Source organism: Homo sapiens, chromosome 3, assembly GCF_000001405.40.
Source record: "Homo sapiens chromosome 3, GRCh38.p14 Primary Assembly".
In the NCBI taxonomy this organism is placed as follows: Eukaryota; Metazoa; Chordata; class Mammalia; order Primates; family Hominidae; genus Homo; species Homo sapiens.
The window spans coordinates 160,313,327-160,335,662 of NC_000003.12; the positions used below are offsets into that span (position 1 = coordinate 160,313,327).

General features: G+C 36.8%; 1 protein-coding gene and 1 long non-coding RNA gene across 6 annotated transcripts in view; both read right to left on the minus strand.

Moving 5' to 3' along the window:
• Positions 1–22,336, minus strand: part of TRIM59-IFT80 (TRIM59-IFT80 readthrough (NMD candidate)) — a 258,294-nt gene that overhangs the window by 85,873 nt on the left and 150,085 nt on the right. For all 3 annotated transcript variants that reach the window (NR_148401.1, NR_148403.1, NR_148402.1), the window contains one exon: positions 6,434–6,613. This is a non-coding gene — a long non-coding RNA (TRIM59-IFT80 readthrough (NMD candidate)). The remainder of the gene's footprint in view (positions 1–6,433; positions 6,614–22,336) is intronic.
• IFT80 (intraflagellar transport 80) overlaps positions 1–22,336 on the minus strand; it is a 142,240-nt gene that overhangs the window by 56,341 nt on the left and 63,563 nt on the right. For all 3 annotated transcript variants that reach the window (NM_020800.3, NM_001190241.2, NM_001190242.2), the window contains one exon: positions 6,434–6,613. In NM_020800.3, coding sequence (NP_065851.1) covers positions 6,434–6,613 — 180 coding nt within the window. The remainder of the gene's footprint in view (positions 1–6,433; positions 6,614–22,336) is intronic.

The window sequence follows — 22,336 nt, forward strand, 5'->3', positions numbered from 1 at the left end:
GCAAACTTTCCTAAACAAACAGGTTTAAGAAAATTCAACATTTAAAAATACAATTAATTGTAGAGGCCTCTAACATTATTAAAATTATAGATAGATTTCTTAAGATCCATATTTCCCTAAAGCCTCACATGGAGGAATGTCCCTTTTTGTGAATCTGGTACACTTGAACCAAACCAGAATAAAGCATCCTAGCCATAATAAGAAAACTAAAGGCACTCTAGTAATTGCTGTTATAGTTTCAAAACTATGGCAAATTCCACATCAGAAATGTTCTGTGCTGAATTTTTTTTTTTTTTTTTTGAGACAAGAGTCTTGCTCTGTCACCCAGGCTGGAGTGCAGTGGCGTGATCTCAGCCCACTGCAACCTCTGCCTCCAGGGTTCAAGTGATTCTCCTGCCTCAGCCTTCTGAGTAACTGGGACTACAGGCACAAGCCACCACGCCCGGCTAATTTTTTGTATTTTTAGTAGAGACGGGGTTTCACTATGTTGGTCAGGCTGGTCTTAACTTCTGACCTTGTGATCCACCCGCCTCGGCCTCCCAAAGTGCTGGGATGATAGGTGTGAGCCATCGTGCCCGGCCTCTGTGCTGAATTTTAAAATACACCTATTACTCTGTTCAACTCAGGGCAGCTCCAGGATTAATTTCCTGATATTCGCATCACCTAATTCTTCTATATGATCACAATATTTAGACTCCTCAGATTGACATAAGTCTAAACATTCTGTTTGCACATTTGCAAAACACTCATTTAATCCTATAGCTATAATCATAATCATAGCAATAGCTATCATTTTTGTTTTACATATATTATCTCATTTCATCTTCAATATTACTCTATTATTAGCTCTTATTTTTACAAGACATAAAATGTCCTGTAAGAATTAAGACACTTTTGAACTTTGATGACTATTAAAAGCCAAATTTATACCCCATCCTAAAGTTAGAGTGGCAGGAGAGAAACAAAGGTAACTTTGGGACACTAGAAATGCCTCACCCTTTGTACCTGCACGCTTTCCCTCCTAGGCACTTCCTTCTAACAGAGACATCAAGGATCTCTTTTGGAAAGAATTATCCACTGGGCTGCTTCCTGGAGGCAAGAGGCAGATTAAGAAACTTTTTCACTACAGGCTATCATGTCCCACAAAAGCTGAGGTTCAGAGAGACGGTAGGGCAAATAAGTCTACTGTAGGAAAACAGCACCAGCAGGTCAAGGTGTAGATTTAACAATCATGACTCAACATGATCTCTGGTTTCTGAGTTAATGAAACACGGATAAACCAAAAGCCAAAGAAGCCTCTAAGGAAACTGTAAAATTCTAAGTTGGGCAAACAAAAACAATTGCGATTGTTTAGTCTCACTGAAATCCTGTGACTCCACCTTGCAACAAAAGTGGGCTGTTAAAAAGTACAGCCCTCAGAAAGCGAATCCTCCCAAGTGTCCAGAGAGATCTTCCCAGAAAGGCAAACTAGAGTTAACAAACTGACCAAGCAACTACTTTGTTGCTAAGAGAGTTCTCAGGATATTCTTGGTGTAAAACCAAAGAAAATGACTGGAGGCGAGCCTCAATCAATTTATAGGTTTATTTTGCCAAGGTTGGGGATGTGCCCAGGAAAAAGGAACACAAAATCACAGGAACATCTGTGATCCATGCTTTTTCCAAAAAGGGTTTGAAGAGCTTCAATATTTAAAGGGAAAAAAAGTGGGCAGGAGGGGAAAAAAGAAGGAAGGGAGGGAGGGAGGGAGGGAGGGAGGGAGGGAGGGAAAAAGAGAGAGAGAAAGAAAGAAAGAGGAGGGAGGGTATGGTCACATTCTTGTGAGGTTTAGATTAGAGCTCACTGAATCCACATGTTGCAAGTGAAAACAGGTACAGGGATAGTCAACTATGTATTCCCCCTGCAGTGAATCTGAATTTTTACATAAGATAAACACAGAGCAGAAGAAGCAGTGAAATATGCATTGTCTCCAGTGAGCAGAGGGATGACTTCTAGTCTTGTCTTTCTCCCATACCTGTGAAGATAAGCTGTTAATTTACATTGTTAGGGTGAAACTCAACAGAACTCTGTTTTAGGGTAAAGATCTTGGGGCCTACAGGGAATTTACTTGTGAGCATATTGTAAGGGAAGCCCTCTGGGGAGGTATGTGTTCTTCTATCTTTGCAGCTACCTACTTAGGAACAAAATGGGAGGCAGTTTTGCATGACTCAGTTCTCAAGCTTACCCTTTCCCTTTGACATAATGAGTTTGGGGTCTCAAGATTTTTATTTTCCTTTCACACTCACCAGCTGGATTTTAGCTATAAATGGGTAATCACTGTGTGTTGTTTTCCTTTCTCCCCTTTTCCAAATTGTTTTCATTGCAGCCACCCTCTTTTCCCTTTGCCATTGTAAACTGGGAATATGGAGAGTGGGAGGGGAGGGGAGAAGAATCAAAATACATATTTATGTATAGTTTTCCAAACCAGAGAGTTGGAGCTGGATGCAATAACCATAGAGTCTAGGTTATCTTTTTTTTAGAAAGGGGATGGGTTTGTTTTCAATCACTTATAAAATAGCTGCATGATAAAGTAGTATATTTCTGAATCATATGTATAAGAGTAGGTTGAATATGTATCCATATATATGAATAAAGGAAGCTTGTAAGGTGACTCCCAATGATCCCTGCCTCCTGGTATTCAAACCCTTGTGCAAATCTCTCCATTTAATGTGGTTTGGACCTAATAGCTTGCTTCTAGTAAATAGAATATGGCAACAGTGATGAGATGTCACTTCTGAGCTCGGGTTATAAAAAACTGTGACTTATGTCTTGCTTGCACTCTCTCTGGCCCTTCCTGCTTGCTCTGCTAAAGCAAACCACCAAGTTGTGAGCTGCCCTATGAAGAGGCCACATACAAAGAACTGAAGGAGACCTCCAGTAAATAGTCAAGAAAAAACTGAGGCCCTCAGGTGCAAATGACACTGATGAACTGAATCTTGCCAACCATCATGTCAGTGAGCTTGAAAGCAAATCTTTCCCCAGTTGAGCCTTCAGATAAAACTAAAGTCCTGGTCAATGCCTTGCTTGCAGCCTTGTGAGACTGTGAAACAGGGGAGCCTGTTAAGCCATGCCTGGATTCCTGACTCACAGAAAATGAGAGATAATAATTGTTGCTGTTTAAGCCACTATGTTTAGGGTTATTCATTATGCAGCAATAAGTAACTAACACAGTACAGCTGCTAAACAGCTCAAGGATAGACTATAGCATATATCTATCTATCATTTTTTGTCTGCCCAGAATCAACTGACATCTTTTCTCATAAATATACATTGATTTTCCTTTAGGAAACCATTCCTTCCACTCTTCTCAGTGACTGGCTAGATGGGATTGACTCATTTTCCCCTGCCTCTCCCTGACTAAATACACTTGACTCAGGCTCAGCATATGAAATCCAAGGCTGAGATTTCTCCTGGAATTACTAGGGAAAAAAAAGCACTCTTTCCGCTGAACTTGGAGTTGGTAGAATGTCAGCCTGGAACTACCAAGGCCACAAAATAGAGCCTTTCTGAAAACTAAGACAATTACAGAGAAAAGAAGAGTTGAGGAAGAGAAAGAGATGAAGTCCTCTTGGCATTATTTAAGCCTCTGAACCAATAATGCCTCTAAGTCAGTCTGTCTCTTAACTTCACAAGAATCAATAAATTTCCTTTTTTTCTCTTCATTTTTCACTTTAAATCAATTACAGCTGAATTTATGAAAAAAACATTTTCAAGATAATAATCTAGGGGGTCCATAAAAACAAGGACCAAATCTGTCTTGTTCACTTCTGTATTCCTCATTACTTAGCCCAATGCCTGGCAAGTAGGGATCACTCAATAGATACCCATTGAATTAGTGAATAAAATCATTCTAAGAAGAAACATGAATAGGCCTAACTTAGCAAAAATGCAGTCAAATGTTTTATAATCATGGAGAAAGTAAAACCTCTTTAAAAAAATAAAAATAATGTTCTAGTTTAAAACTTTAAAAATTTATAAATATTATTTTAAACACAAAGACAATTTAGATTAGATAAGCCATTTAAGCATTTCCACGGTTCATCTTATTTCACATAAAAATCCTCCATCACTAGGATAATTCCTTCTTATTATGAAAGAAGAACTCCTCTTTCTAGATATGGTCTCATGTTGGGGCATTTCTGTAATTAAGGCTAAAACTTATTTTAGCACTACTATATTAGCTATAAATATAATATTATACCCCAATTAGTTGATTAGAACTCACAATGGATTCTATGTCATATACAGAATATTATAATGGTTTAGATCCCAGGTTAATTAGAAGAAATATACATTAAACCATCATCTAGATCCTACATCCTTCTTAAAGGAAACACAGAAGATAGAGGGACATGTCAAATCACATGATGGAGATACAATCAGCCCAGTCCAGACTGAGAAACTCTACCAGACAGATAACTTGGTTCTTCAACAAACAAAATGCAGGACAGAAAACAGAGATAGAAGGGGACTCTTCAGACCAAAAGAGACTTAAAAGATACATCAGCCATTGCAATATGTAAAACTGGATCCTGATTCAAACAAAGTTTTGTGGCATGTAGGAAACAACTGGACATTTAAACACTTTGTGGATATTTGATAATATTAAGAAATTATTATTATTATTATATAATATGATAATGGTAGTGTGGTTATATTAAAACAGAGTCCTTATCTTTTAGTTATATATACTAAAATATTTATAAATGAAATACAATGTCTGAATTTGGGGAGCAAGGAAAGTAGATAGGACATGGACTGGGCAGGCTTAAGCATGAACTAGTGATTACTGGGGCTGGGTGATGAGTACATGGGGATTCAGTATACTAGTCTGTGTGTGTTTTAAATTATCTAAATAAAAAGTTTTATAATTTTAAAATAAATAAACAGAATAAAGAAAAAGTATAATATACCGAATTATTAGTAATCTAGTGACAATATTATCCAAATTTTAAAATCTGGATATGTGGGCTAACAGAATATTTGAATAGACCTGCCCATGCTTCTAAATTTTTATAGTAATAATATGAATTATGAATACTGAAGATAGAGGCAATTGATACAGGCAAAAGGAATAAGAGGAAGGTCGAATCCTTCTTTTTGAGGATTTGCATTGGCACATGGTACTTTGATCTTCTCCTTGTACCTTTCTTCAACTAATTATTAATATATTAAAGGCAAGGCACTGGGCTAGAGGCCCTGAAGGAGAGACAAAGATGAGCCATGAAGATACTTGTGCCCTCCCACTGATATCCTTTGACCTGTAAAACATTTCTCCCCACTTCCCACTGCCACATCCGAACCTTCTTGTATTAATCTACAAAATATTTCACTTCAAAATTTTCTTCTGATGGGACTGAGGATACACTATACCAAAATATGGCACTATGGCATACTGAATATTTTAAGCTAAAGGAATTTGATAAAACAAGAGCAGCAGGAGGTCAGTCTGACCTTCCTCTACTCTTCTTCCCTAATACAGGTCATAAAACCTAGAAAGGATTTTCTGACCTTTTCCTGAAGCAGGTCATAAGACTCTCATGTGAGAGGTGCCCTCCCTATACCCAGAGGAAAGTTATATCCTTATTTCTGAAGACACAGGGACACAGAGAAGAATCTAAACACACAGGTCTTGCTAAATTTCCCCCAGCTTATTACCACTAGATCATACTTTTTTTGCCCTATTGTGTATCGCCACAACTGTCTACTCTTCATCAAATGTAGCGTAAAAGCACACAGCCTTAACTGTTTCTTCAGGTCTACATTTCCTCAGGAAGGCTCCAGTGTCATGTAAAACTTACATTAAATCAATTTATATGATTTTTTCTTATTAATATATCTTTTGTTATAGGGACCTCAGTCATGAGCCTAGGATGGGTAGAGATATTTTTCTTCCCCTACACTTCCTAATTCCCAATAAGAACTTCCTATACCATTTTCCCATTTTGACTCTCCTTAGGTAATTCTTAAAATAAAATTTAAAAAAATCAGGTTAAATAAGTTCATCCAATTACAAATAAGTAAAACAATTAACCCTGTCAGTAACTGGCAGATTAGGCCTGCCTTGGATTCAGCTCCAGGAGTCAAATCCAACATGCTCCTGTTTGTTACAGCTTTTTCTCTCCTTCCCTCACTGAATCCACATATTTCCTCCAGGTTTCCAATTTCACTGTATTTGTCCTAAATGCATAACTGAAGTAGCTTTGGGCATTCAGGTTCTATATCTGTGAAAGGTTTTTATGTCAGAGAAAGTGACTAATGGAATAGTTAAAATATTTCTAATGTGACTGAATTTTTATAAGCTTGACTAAATATAATTAATGAAGATAATTCCATATTCTGTACAGTTAACTAATATGAAAAGAAGCAGGTTTAATCAACCTTGGAACATAATAATACCTGCATGGCTCTTCTTTTCGTTAATGTTACTTGAAAATTTTTCCACTCCCAATGTTGTTCCACCACATGTGCAAAAACGACATGTCCATTTCCACAGGCTCCAGCAATCTGAGTGCCATCGATAGACCATGCAATATTAAATATGCTGCCAGTGTTGGGTTTTTCTAATGCATATGACCACTGGGGGAGAAAAAACAAGAAAAAGATGGACTTACTGAAAAAAAATTTTTAGGAAGTTTTAAATCAGGCACATGACAACGTAATAAGATCATTTTTAAAAGAATGTCTATTCTGGAATTATTATTTTTCTTAATAAAATTATAGTGTACTGAATGGAAAATACAGATGTAATTGTTGAAGTCCACAGTAGAACATCATGCTAAAACAGTGTATGAAATATCTCAAGAACTGTAAAAAACCCACATCATCTCAATGTTTACTATTCCTTTTAAGTAATAATACTTAATAGGTAAACACAAAGATTCTGTAGAAAAAACAAAGACATCTTACTATTCATTCCTAATATATAGTCTCTACATCTAAAAAAATTTCTCATTACAATATTTTAAGAATGTCACAAAACAATTGAAACTCAACACACAATGTAACTAAAATAGCTCTGACCCACATCTTAAATCATGAAATTACACGAAACTGGATCTATTTCTTTTCTTTTTTTTTTAACAGACTGCAGTGAGTATAACCTCTCCTAGAACCTATCTAACTGTCTGAGAAAGTTATCTAGAGATATCAATAAGCATTAAATAGGACAAAAGAGATTCTTGTGTGTGTGTCTATAAATAAGACATAAGAAAAAAACAAACTTTTTAATACATGGTATTATATGCACTTGTTTCATTTTTCAGATGCAACATATGTTATTTGCTAGGATGATTAATTTGACTAAACTTATATACATATTCTCTTTTCATTCTTCCAGCCTTACAGCGTATAATCACAGTCTTGATTTTGTTGTTGTTGTTGCTCTCGGCTGGATATATATACATATATATATTTTGTTTGTTTGTTTGTTTTACATTATTTTTTTCCAGAAATACTCATTATTAGCTACAGGCTCACTTTGACAACAAATCTAGGGGAATGGAAAAATATAAAGATTTACTAATTGATGCTATTACAAAACAAGACTTTAAAATTCCTAATGAAAGTTCATACATAACATAAAAATACTGAAAGGCTCTTCAACCACTCACTGACACTCTTTTACAACTCTCCCCACCCTCCAACTTTGGAGCCACTAACTGTTGCTTTAATGGCTTCAGTAAAGGCCTAATAATAAAGTTACCAAGGAGAAGATAATGAACAAACCATAACCTTTGCTTCATCAGCAGTATGAAAATACTAGAAACTTCCTTTTAGAAAATTAAGAAGAATCAATTAAAAAAATACATATAATATTTGAAGTCATCTTTTGAAAATAACTGTAGAAGACTGGGAACTTCAAAGATACTAATAACCTGCTTTGGGCGATAAAATGAAATTAATTCATTTGTGTTTGACAAACAAGAATTATGAAACATTACATGAATACTATTTTACATAAAGATTAAAAGTGGTTGATAATGACAAATAAGACTTGATATATTAACATATAGGCTTATGGCATCTCTCTCTCTCTTTCTAAATCTAGTCTATCCTCATGGTGTAGAAGAAACAGAGATCTTAGTTTAATTTCTATTTTAAAACCATACATTCATATAACAGTCCTTCCTTAACCATGGGGATAAGTCCCAGGATCCCCAGTGGAAGCCTGAAACTATAGAAGGTGCTAAAACCTATGCATCCTATGTTTTTTTCTATATATACATACCTATGTTAAAGTTTAATTTATAAATTAGGGAAAGTAAGAGATTAACAATGTCTAATAATACAATAGAACAATTATAAAAATATACCATAGTAAAAGTTATGTGAATGTGGTCTCTATTTCTGGAAATTTCCATTTCTGACTGCAGTTGACAGAGGGTAACTGAACTCACAGAAAGAGAAACTGTGAAAAAGGGAGGACTACCAAATTTAAAGTATGGTTTTATTTTTTATTTTTATTTTTTTATATGTGAAAGATTCATTTTATTATTTAATCTGTGCATAATTTCAAGGACATTGATGGAGAAAGATGCTCTTTCAGGACAGCCAAGAAGTATCAAGTTAGGCCAGCAGTTGCCCTGAGCATGCTTGTTTAAGAAAGGAGATCTGACAGTAGAAAGGGTCATTGTCAGCTTGTTATTTATTTATTTATTTATTTATTTATTTATTTATTTATTATTATTATACTTTAAGTTTTAGGGTACATGTGCATAATGTGCAGGTTAGTTATATATGTATGCATGTGCCATGTTGGTGTGCTGCACCCATTAACTTGTCATTTAGTATTAGGTATATCTCCTAATGCTATCCCTCCTCCCTCCCCCGACCCCACAACAGTCCCCAGAGTGTGATGTTCCCCTTCCTGTGTCCATGTGTTCTCATTGTTCAATTCCCATCTATGAGTGAGAACATGTGGTGTTTGGTTTTTCGTCCTTGCAATAGTTTACTGAGAATGATGATTTCCAATTTCATCCATGTCCCTACAAAGGACATGAACTCATCATTTTTTATGGCTGCATAGTATTCCATGGTGTATATGTGCCACATTTTCTTAATCCAGTCTATCATTGTTGGACATTTGGGTTGGTTCCAAGTCTTTGCTATTGTGAATAGTGCTACAATCAATATACGTGTGCATGTGTCTTTATAACAGCATGATTTATAGTCCTTTGGGTATATACCCACTAATGGGATGGCTGGGTCAAATGGTATTTCTAGTTCTAGATCCCTGAGGAATCACCACACTGACTTCCACAAGGGTTGAACTAGTTTACAGTCCCACCAACAGTGTAAAAGTGTTCCTATTTCTCCACATCCTCTCCAGCATCTGTTGTTTCCTGACTTTTTAATGATTGCCATTCTAACTGGTGTGAGATGGTATCTCATTGTGCTTTTGATTTGCATTTCTCTGATGGCCAGTGATGATGAGCATTTTTTCATGTGTCTTTTGGTTGCATAAATGTCTTCTTTTGAGAAGTGTCTGTTCATATCCTTTCCCCACTTTTTGATGGGGTTGTTTGTTTTTTTCTTGTAAATTTGTTTGAGTTCATTGTAGATTCTGGATATTAGCCCTTTGTCAGATGAGTAGGTTGCGAAAATTTTCTCCCATTTTGTAGGTTGCCTGTTCACTCTAATGGTAGTTTCTTTTGCTGTGCAGAGGCTCTTTAGTTTAATTAGATCCCATTTGTCAATTTTGGCTTTTGTTGCCATTGCTTTTGGTGTTTTAGACATGAAGTCCTTGCCCATGCCTATGTCCTGAATGGTAATGCCTAGGTTTTCTTCTAGGGTTTTTATGGTTTTAGGTCTAACGTTTAAGTCTTTAATCCATCTTGAATTAATTTTTGTATAAGGTGTAAGGAAGGGATCCAGTTTCAGCTTTCTACATATGGCTAGCCAGTTTTCCCAGCACCATTTATTAAATAGGGAATCCTTTCCCCATTGCTTGTTTTTCTCAGGTTTGTCAAAGATCAGATAGTTGTAGATATGCGGCATTATTTCTGAGGGCTCTGTTCTGTTCCATTGATCTAAATCTCTGTTTTGGTACCAGTACCATGCTGTTTTGGTTACTGTAGCCTTGTAGTATAGTTTGAAGTCAGGTAGCATGATGCCTCCAGCTTTGTTCTTTTGGCTTAGGATTGAACAACCTGCTGCTGAATGACTACTGGGTACATAATGAAATGAAGGCAGAAATAAAGATGTTCTTTGAAACCAACGAGAACAAAGACACAACATACCAGAATCTCTGGGACACATTCAAAGCAGTGTGTAGAGGGAAATTTATAGCACTAAATGTCCACAAGAGAAGCAGGAAAGATCCAAAATTGACACCCTAACATCACAATTAAAAGAACTAGAAAAGCAAGAGCAAACACATTCAAAAGCTAGCAGAAGGCAAGAAATAACTAAAATCAGAGCAGAACTGAAGGAAATAGAGACCAAAAAAAACCCTTCAAAAAATTAATGAATCCAGGAGTTGGTTTTTTGAAAGGATCAACAAAACTGATAGACCACTAGCAAGACTAATAAAGAAAAAAAGAGAGAAGAATCAAATAGATACAATAAAAAATGATAAAGGGGATATCACCACCGATCCCACAGAAATACAAACTACCATCAGAGAATACTACAAACACCTCTACACAAATAAACTAGAAAATCTAGAAGAAATTGATAAATTCCTCGACGCATACACTCTCCCAAGACTAAACCAGGAAGAAGTTGAATCTCTGAATAGACCAGCAACAGGATCTGAAATTGTGGCAATAATCAATAGCTTACCAACCAAAAGGAGTCCAGGACCAGATGGATTCACAGCCGAATTCTACCAGAGGTACAAGGAGGAACTGGTACCATTCCTTCTGAAACTATTCCAGTCAATAGAAAAAGAGGGAATCCTTCCTAACTCATTTTATGAGGCCAGCATCATCCTAATACCGAAGCCGGGTGGAGACACAACCAAAAAAGAGAATTTTAGACCAATATCCTTGATGAACATTGATGCAAAAATCCTCAATAAAATACTGGCAAAACGAATCCAGCAGCACATCAAAAAGCTTATCCACCATGATCAAGTGGGCTTCATCTCTGGGATGCAAGGCTGGTTCAATATACGCAAATCAATAAATGTAATCCAGCATATAAACAGAACCAAACACAAAAACAACATGATTATCTCAACAGATGCAGAAAAGGCCTTTGACAAAATTCAACAACCCTTCATGCTAAAAACTCTCAATAAATTAGGTATTGATGGGACATATCTCAAAATAATAAGAGCTATCTATGACAAACCCACAGCTAATAGCATACTGAATGGGCAAAAACTGGAAGCATTCCCTTTGAAAACGGGCACAGGACAGGGATGCCCTCTCTCACCACTCCTATTCAACATAGTGTTGGAAGTTCTGGTCAGGGCAATTAGGCAGGAGAAGGAAATAAAGGGTATTCAATTAGGAAAAGAGGAAGTCAAATTGTCCCTGTTTGCAGACGACATGACTGTATATCTAGAAAACCCCATTGTCTCAGCCCAAAATCTCCTTAAGCTGATAAGCAACTTCAGCAAAGTCTCAGGATACAAAATCAATGTACAAAAATCACAAGCATTCTTATACACCAATAACAGACAAACAGAGAGCCAAATCATGAGTGAACTCCCATTCACAATTGCTTCAAAGAGAATAAAATACCTAGGAATCCAACTTACAAGGGACGTGAAGGACCTCTTCAAGGAGAACTACAAACCACTGCTCAATGAAATAAAAGAGGATACAAAGAAATGGAAGAACATTCCATGCTCATGGGTAGGAAGAATCAATATCGTGAAAATGGCCATACTGCCCAAGGTAATTTATAGATTCAATGCCATCCCCATTAAGCTACCAATGACTTTCTTCACAGAATTGGAAAAAACTACTTTAAAGTTCATATGGAACCAAAAAAGAGCCCGCATCGCTAAGTCAATCCTAAGCCTAAAGTATGGTTTTAAAACACTGGAAGAACCAAATCAGCCAGAAAGGAATGTCTTACTAAAATTAAACAGAAATATTTATCTAAGAACTTACAGATGCATGATCCTAAGAGGAGAAAATGAAATGTTTAGATAATAGTATATCATCATCCTATATTCAACTGATTTCCTTTACAGTCCACATGAACCAACAAAAATAAAATCTGCAACATGCAACTTATCCCTGAAAACACATCTCAGGGAATAAGATTGAGTATCCTTTACCTGAAATGCTTGGGAGCCAGAAGCGAATTTTGAATTTCTTCAGATTTTGAAATATTTGCATATACATAAAAAGATATCTTGAGAATGAGACCCAAATCTAAACACGAAATTCATTTATGTTTCATATATATGTTATACACATAGCAGAAAGATAATTTTATATATTTCTTATAATTTTGTACATGAAACAAAGTTTTGTAAATGTTTTGGTTGTGGCCTGTCACATGAGGTCAAGTGTTGGAATTTTCTACTTGTAGCATCATGTTCGTGCTCAAAAAGTTTTGGATTTTGGAGTATTTTGGCTTTTGAATTTTTCAGATTAGGAATGCTCAACCTGTATAACAATATTGTGATAGTAACGTTAAATTAAATTCTTACATTAAAAATTTTTAAATTTACAACTTAAAAATTATTTTAAATGTAAGCATTAAAAATTAAAATTTCATCACCCAGGTATTAAGCCCAGTACCCATTAATGATAACAAACCCCCATAATACAAGGTTACCTACATAACAAACCTGCACACGTACCCCTGAACTCAAAATAAAAGATTAAGAAATAAATTAAAATTATTTCTCTCTGTTTTAGATTACTCTAGTAATAAAACAATATAATCAAAACCTAATCAGCAGAGAATAAGTCTTTAATAGTTACTAAAATTGGAGAGACATACTGGAACTATTCCAAAAAATTAAAAAGGAGGCACTCCTCCCTAACTCATTCTATGAGGTCTGCATCATCCTGATACCAAAACCTGGCAGAGATACAACAAAAAAAGAAAACTTCAGGCCAATATCTTTGATGACCATCAATGCAATAATCCTCAACAAAATACTGGCAAAGTGAATCCAGTAGCACATCAAAAAGCTTATCCACCATGATCAAGTAGGCTTCATTCCCAGATACAAGGCTGATTCAACATACATGAATCAATAAATGTGATTCATTACATAAACAGAAATAAAGACAAAAACCACACGATTATCTCAATAGATGCAGAAAAGGCTTCCGATAAAATTCAACATCCCTTCATGTTAAAAACTCTCAATAAACTAGGTATTGAAAGAATACCTCAAAATAAGAGCCATATATGACAAACTTACAGCCAGTATCACACTGAAAGGGCAAAAGCTGGAAGCATTCACCTTGAAAACAGGCACAGGACAAGGATGCCCTCTCTCACCACTCCTATTCAATACAGTATTGGAAGTTCTGGCCAGAGCAATCAGGCAAGGAAAAAAAAATAAGGGTACTCAGATAGGAAGACAGGAAGTCACACTATCCCTGTTTGCAGATGACATGATCCCATTATACATCTAGAAAACCCTATCATCTCAGCCCAAAAGCTTCTTAAGCTGATAATCAACTTCAGCAAAGTCTCAGGATACAAAATCAATGTGCAAAAATCACTAGCATTCCTATACACCAACAACAGACAAGCAGAGAGCCAAATCATGAATGAACTCCCATTCACAACTGTCACAAAAAGAATAAAATACCTAGGAATACAGCTAACAAGGGAAGTGAAGAACCTCTACAAGGAGAACTACAAACCACTGCTCAAAGAAATCATAGATGACACAAACAAATGGAAAAACATTCCATGCTCATGGATAGGAAGAATCAATATCGTGAAAATGACCATACTACCCAAAGCAATGTATACATTAAATGCTATTCCCATTAAACTACCATTGATATTCTTCACAGAAATAGAAAAAAACTATTTTAAAATTCATATGGAGCCAAAAAAGAGCCTGAACAGCCAAGACAATCCTAAGCAAAAAGAACAAAGCTGGAGGCATTATACTACCTGACTTCAAACTGTACTAACAGGGCCACAATAACCAAAACAGCAAGGTACTGGTACAAGAACAGACACAAAGACCAATGGAACAGAATAGAGAACCTAGAAATAAGACTGCACACCTACAACTATCTGATCTTCAACAAACCTGACAAAACAAGCAATGAGGAAAGGAGTCCCTATTTAATAAACAAATTTAATAAATGGTGTTGGGAGAACTGGCTAGCCATATGCAGGAAAGTGAAACTGGACCCCTTCCTTAAACCATATACAAAAATTAACTCAAGATGGATTAAAGACAAATGTAAAACACAAAACTATAAATACCCTAGAAGAAAACCTAGGCAATACCACTCAGGACATACGCATAGGTACAGATTTCAGGATGAAGGTGCCAAAAGCAATTGCAACAAAAACAAAAATTGATAAATGGGATCTAATTAAACTAAAGAACTTCTGCATAGCAAAAGAAACCATCAACAGGGTAAAGAGACAACCTACAGAATGGGAGAAAATTTTTGCAAACTATGCATCTGACAAAGGTCTAATATACAGCATCTATTAGGAACTTAAACAAATTTACAAGAAAACAAACAACCGCATTAAAAAGTGGGCAAAGGACATGAAAAGATGTCTTCTCAAAAGAAGACATATATGGCCAACAGTCATATGAAAGCAAGCTCAACATCACTAATCATTGGAGAAATGCAAATCAAAACCACAGTGAGATACCATATCTCACACCAGTCAGAATGGCTATTACTAAAAAGTCTGGCCGAGTGCAGTAGCTCACACCTGTAATCCCAGCACTTCGGGAGCCTGAGGCGGGTGGATCACTTGAGGTCAGGAGTTCAAGACCAGCCTGGCAAACATAGTGAAACCCTGTCCCTAATGAAAATACAAAAATTAGCCAGGCATGGTGGCAAGCACCTATAATCCCAGCTACTTGGGAGGCTGAGGCAGGAGAATCACTTGAACCCACAAGGCGGAGGTTGCAGTGAGCAGAGATCGTGCCAGTGCACTCCAGCCTGGGTGACAGAGGGAGACTCCATCTCAAAAAAAAAAAAAAAAAAAAAAGGTCAAAAAATAACGGATGCTGGCGAGGTTGTACAGAAAAAGGAATGGTTTTACACTGTCGGTGGGAGTGTAAATTAGTTCATTGTGGAAGACAGTATGGCAATTCCTCAAAGAGCTAAAAGCAGAACTATCATTCGGCCCAGTGATACCATTACTGGGTATATACCCAAAGGAATATAAATTGTTCTATTATAAAGACACATGCAGCTATATGTTCATTACAGTACAATAACAAAGACATGGAATCAACCTAAATTCCTGTCGATTACAGGCTGGAGAACGAAAATGTGGTACATATATGCCATGAAATACTATGTAGCCATAAAAAGGAATGAGATCATGTCCTTCTCAGGGACATGGATGGAGTTGGTGGGACATTATCCTTAGCAAACAAACACAGGAGCAGAAAAAGCAGAAAACCAAATACCACATGCTCTCATTCATAAGAGGGAGATAAATGATGAGAATACATGGACACATGGGGGGACAATGCACACTGGGTCCTACTGGAGGGTGGAGGGTGGGAGGGAGGAGAGGATCAAGAAAAATAACTAATGGATACTAGGCTTAATACCTGGGTGATGAAATAATCTGTACAACAAACTCCTATGACACACATGTTATCTATGTAACAAACCTGCACATCCTGCATGTGTACCCCTGAACTTAAAATAAAACTGGGGAGACAGGGTTGTATTTTTCCAATCAGTAAACTGAATAATTTTTATTGGTAAATAAAAAAGATCTATTTATCATGTGTGCTTTTAAAGAGATTTTTTTAACACTCTAATTCTCTTCTCTTCCCCAAATATGCCATGAGATACTTGGTTCACATTTGTATTACTACCCTCTAAAAGGGAATGAGACAGCTGCCCTGGGTGTAATTTAGTGGTACTGGCAGTGAGAACCCTGGTAGATGAATTTTAAATATCCCTCTTGATGGGGCTCAGAACACACTGCCTCCAAAATATGGCACATCGACACAGAGAACACAGTAGAAGCAGGAATGTCATTCTCTAACCTTCTTTCACCACTCTCCAGAGGCAAGTCAGTTCATCAAGGGAGAGGTACCTTCCCTGTACTGGGAGGAAAGGAACATCCTTATCTCTAAAGACACAGGGATGCAGAGAAGAAGAATCTGAACAGAAAGGCTTTGCTAAATTTCCCCTAGTTTATTAGCATTAGATCGTAACCTCTTTGTCCAATCATACTTTTGCATGACTGTTCATTTGTAATAAAACCTAAGCATAAAAATACACAGGTTTCCCTGTTTCTTGGGGGGGTCTTCATTTCTGAAGGCTTCCATGTTATGTAAAGTTTGTATTAAATAAAATTGTATGCTTTTTTTTTCTTGTTAATCTGTCTTTCGTTATAGGGTCCTCATCCATGAACCTAAGATGGGAAGAAGAGACATACTTTTTCTCCCCTACACTGTTACTTATCTTACTTATCTCTTTCTTTGACCAGACTCTCACTTTAAGATGTTACTCAAAGTGTGCAAGCCAGCAGCATCAACATCATGTGTGAGCTTATTAGAAATGTAAATTCATGGACCCTACCCCAAGCTATTGAATCTGAATCTCTGGAGAGGAGAGACAGGAAGCTTTTAACAAGCTCTTGAGATAATTCTTATGCACATAAAGTTAGGATACTTGTTATCAATGCTAGCTGCACATTATTATTATCTTAGAAACTTTAAAACAAAAGAACAACCAAAACCCTGGCTCTGATCCAACCAATTAAATCCAGAATCTCCTGGGGGTAGGTCTGGATGTGTGTTTAAAAGTTCTCTAGGTGATTTTAATAAAGAGCCATTGTTTCAAGAGAAGAGCAAAATTTGTAATTTGGTTTATCATTAGCAGCTGGCTCTCTGACAGTACCTTACCAACTCGTCTGCTAACTATTAACACAATTATACAACCTTTTCTTAGCCTCTAAACCAGCTTCTCCTAGGTATGTGAATATCTGGCTTCTTATATTCATAACCTAATTTTCTTCTTTTGCACTTTTTATTTCTTTGAATTTCAAACATAAACTTAAGTAGGAATAATAATACAAAGCAGTGGTTTTCAAACTTCAGTGTGCATCAGAGTTACCTAGGATTGTTAAAATGGATTCCTGGGCCCGACCCCAGAGTGTCTGATTTAGTAGATGTGGGCTGGGGTCAAAAAATTTGCATTTCTAACAAGCTCCAAGAGGGTCCTGAAGCTACTGGGCCAATGACCACACTCTGAGAATGACTGGCATAATAGACCCCCATTTACCTGTTACCCAGTTTCCAACAATTATCAACTAATGGCTAATTCTCATCTCCTCTGTACCACCATCCACTTCTCCATGGCCCAGATTATTTGAAGCAAATCCCTAACATATCATTTCATCAATAAATATTTCAGTATACAGTAGTCCCTTCTTGTCCACAGGGATAGGTTCCAAGACCCTCAGTGGAGGCCTGAAGCCACAGATAGTACTGTACTATCTATATAACACTATGAACAGATTTATTTTTCCTCCTTCACAATTTCATAGATAGAAGATTCATTTTTACCATAGATGTTAGCAACCTCAGCCTACCATCTTTTTCTAATTGAGAACTTTCACCTTTTCACTTAAAGGAAGCACTTTATGGCTTCTCTTTGGCACACTGAATTGCTAGCATCCCTACTTTTGTGCTTTGGGGCCATTATTAAGAAAAAGGGTTACTTGAACGAACACAAGCCCTGAAATACTGTGACAGTTGATCTGATAACTAAGCCAGCTACTAAGTAACTTACGGGTGGGTAGTGTACAGAGTGGATATGCTGGACAAAGGGATGATTCATGTCCTGGGAAAACAAAGTAGGATGGCTTGAGATTTCATCATGCTGCTCAGAACAGTGTGCAATATAAAACTTATGCATTCTTTTCTCTAGAATTTCCCTTTAATATTTTCAGATCATGGTTGACCATAGGTAACTGAAAAATCATGAAAGCAAAACCACAGACAAGGAGGAACTACTATATATCACTAAAAAGACAAAGACTTTTAAAACCCAACTTCAATATGTCATTAAGTCACTGTTCAAAATTTCCCAATTGTCATTTTTTTTCCAGTTTGTTTCAATCAAGATGCAAATAAGGTATAACCACTATGTTTGATGGGTAAGATCTTTATGTTCTCTTTCCACATCTTTTTACCCTTGTAATTTTTTTTTTAAGACAATGTCTTGGTCTGTCATCCATGCTGGAGTACAGTGATGCAATAATAGCTTACTCTAGCCTCAATCTCTCAGCTCAAGTGATCCTCCCACCTCAGCATCCTGAGTAGCTGGAACCACAGGTGCATGCCAAGACATTGGGATTTTTATTTTTATTTTTAGTAGAGATAAGGTCTATGTTGCCCAGGCTGCTCTTGAACTCTTGAGCTCAAGTGATCCTCCCGCTTTGGCCTCCCAAAGTGCTGGGATTACAGGCATAAGCCACCACGCCTGGCCTCTCCTTGTAATTTTGTGGTTGTTGAAGAAACTGGGTCATATGTCCTATAAAATTTCCCAGTCTGGATTTTGGCTTCTGCATTCTCATGGTGTTATTTAACATTTCCTCTGTCCCCTTTATTTCCTGTAAATTAGTAGTTAGATTTAGAGTCTTGATCAGATTCAGGTTCCATATTTTTGGAAAGAAAACTTCATAGGTGATGTTGTATACTGTTGTAATTTGTTAAGTGAGGTATTTAAGTTAGGTTTTGTGTGGCACAGTGAGGAACATTCAGACTGGAATGGTGGAAAGATTAGGTTTATTACTCATAGATCTAAGTGAGAAGGCAGAGACAATGGGAAGGTGTGGGGTGTCATCAAGAACATGAATGCTCAACCAGCAGGTGGGGAGCAAAAGAGAGAGGGTGAAACCTTTGGGTGGAGGCTTTTATTGGTGTGCAGGGTGTTACCTAGGTGGGTTTCCCCTGGCAACCCCTAGTGGGGTTGTTTGAAGGGAGCACAAGGATAAGCACGGGAACTTGGGGATTACATTATTAGGTTCCTAACACTTAAAAGTAGGTGATCAAACAGTTTGGGATATGGGGCCTTATCTATCTAGAAGATGAAATGCTAACTAGATGGAGACTATCTCAAAATAGGTGGGTCAAAAGTCAGGGGCAAGACAACAAAATGGATGCTGGGACAGCATTACATAAATAAGAGTTATGACATGTACTTCCAGTAGGAAGCAATTAATGTCTGTTGCCTCTCTTCTTATGCTTTTAATAAACGACGATCATTGCCTACATCTACTAATTCAGTAGGGTTGCAAAATGGGTAATCTTCTAATGTTTTCTTCACTTACTAACTGCAATAGTTTTAGAAAAAGAAGTATCTTCTCATTACCTATTTGGTTACCCTGGGGTATATATATCAAAGGCAGGATAAATTCTTGATTATTTCCAGTTAGTTGCCATCATGTGTTGCTTAATGAAGGGGATGCATTCTGAGAAATGGGCTATTAGGTGATTTCATCATGTGAACATCATAGAGCGTACTTATACAAATATAGATAATATAGCATCTAGACTATATGGTATAGCCTATTGCTCCTAGGCTACAAACCTATCAAGCACCTTACTGAATACTATAGGAAACTGTCACACAACGATAGTAGTGTACCTAAACATACCTAAACACAAAAAAGGTATAATAAAATACATCATTAAAACATAAAAAATGGTATAACTGTACGTGACACTTACATGAATGGAGCTTGCAGGCTTGGAAGTTGTTCTGGGTGAGTCAGGAAGTGAATGGTGAGTTAATGTGAAGGCCTGAAACACTACTGCATACTACTATCAATTTTATAAACACTGTATACTTAGGCTACTAAAGTTATTAAAAAAATTTTTCTTTCTTCAATAACAAATTAACTTCAGCTGACTATAACTTTTTTCCTTTATAAACCTCTTAATTTTTTAAACTTTTTGACTCTTGTAGTAACACTAAACTTAAAATAAAACACGTTGTGACAGCTGTACAAATATATTTTCTTTATATCCTTATTCTTTATGTTTTTTTCTATCTTTAAAATTTTTTGTTTTGTTTTTTACTTTTTAAACTTTCTTGTTAAAAACTAAGATGTAAACACACACACAGCCTAGGCCTATGCAGGGTCAGAATCATCAATATCACTGTCTTCCACCTCTACATCTTGTCCCACTGGAAGGTCTTCAGGGGCAACAGCATGCATGAAGCTGTCATCTCTTATGATAACAATGTCTTCTTCTGCAATACTTCCTGAAGGACCTATGTGAGGCTGTATTACAGTTAACTTCTTTTTAAAATTGAAGTACACACTAAAATAACAATAAAAAGAATAGTATAAGAAATATATAAACCAGTAACACAGTCATCTATTATCACTATCAAGAATTATGTACTGTACATAATTGTATGTACTGTACTTTTATATGGCTGACAGCGCAGTGGTATGTTTACACCAGCATCAACACAAACACATAAGTAATGTGTTGTACTATGATACTAGGATGGCTATGACATCACTAGGCAATAGGAATTTTTCAACTCCATTATAATCTTATGGGACCACTATCATATATGCAGTCTGTCACTGACCAAAATGTTATTATGTGGTACATGATCGTATCACTTTTCAAAAATATAGATTTGAATAGTGACTAGATACTTGATGATACTTAAAAATTACTGTTAATTGTTTTCAGATTTAATAATGGTACTAAGGTTAGGTTAACAACAGACTGTGCTTTCAGTGATATATACTAAAATATTTAGTGACAGAATGATAGGATGCTAGGGATTTGCTTAAGTGGGTGGTGGTACAGATGAGATATGTTATTAGTTGATAATTGTTGGAAGTTGAGTAATGGGTAAATAGGGGTTTGTTATACCAGTTGGTATATACACATTTGATGTGTTTCACTAAATATGATGCTCAAATTGGCTCGCTTTTTTTTTTTTTTGAGACACAGCCTTGCTCAGGCTGGAGTGCAGTGGCACGATCTCAGCTCACTGCAACCTCCGCCTCCCAGGTTCAAGCAATTCTGCTGCCTCAGCCTCCAGAGTAGCTGGGACTACAGGCACCTGCCAGCATGCCCAGCTAATTTTTGTATTTTTAGTAGAGACGGGGTTTCACCATATTAGCCAGGCTGGTCTTGAACTCCTGACCTTGTGATCCGCCCTCCTCAGCATCCCAAAGTGCTGGGATTACAGGCGTGGGCCACTGTGCCCAGCTCAAATTGGCTCACTTTTAGCCTGTGAGATCTCTTTCAAGTTGGGTTTTTTGTTTTGTTTATTTTTTAGTCTTCTTGACAGACTCTCATAGCTTTTTTTTTTTTTTAAAGACAGTTTCCTTGTTTTCTAGAATGATAAAATGTCCACATTCATATTTTAGATTTCCTGACTTACACAGGGAATTCTCAGTGAGCTCTGGTTCATTTTATAAAAATGTGGAAAATATTATTTAAAGAATGCCCACAAGTGCTTGGATACTATTATTGAGTTGATCATTGCTTTTCTAGGTCTTTTTAGTGGAAAGAAATAGGTAATTTTTTCAAGATAAAAAACAAACTCAAATACTTTCCATTCAAATCCAGGAACTATCGGATTTCTACTTACCCTCACCAGTCTTACCCCAGGATCTCCTTTAATTAGCCAAAAAAATCCTCTTTTTTTTTTTTGAGATAAGAGTTTCACTATGTTTTCCAGGCTGATGTCAAACTCGGTTCGGCAGAAAAATCCCAATTCTTTTTTTCTTTTTTTTTTTTTTGAGACGGAGTCTTGCTCTGTCACCCAGGTTTGAGTGCGGTGGCACAATCTTGGCTCACTGCAACCTTTGCCTCCCAGGTTCTCCTGCCTCAGCCTCCCGAGTAGCTGGGACTACAGGCACCCGTCAGCACACCTGGCTAATTTTTGTATTTTTAGTAGAGACGGGGTTTTGCCATGTTGGCCAGGCTGGTCTCAAACTCCTGACCTGAGGTGATCCACTCGCCTCGGCCTCCCAAAGTGCTGGGATTACAGGCATGGGCTGCCATGCCTGGCCCTAAAAATCCCAATTCTTAAGACACCAATATAGATACTCAGAATAACACTATTAATACCACAAACAAATGATTATAAAAGAGTTTAAAACTTCTTTTTGCATTCTATTTTTCCCTTAGGCAAATTTTCTTTTAAGCAACAA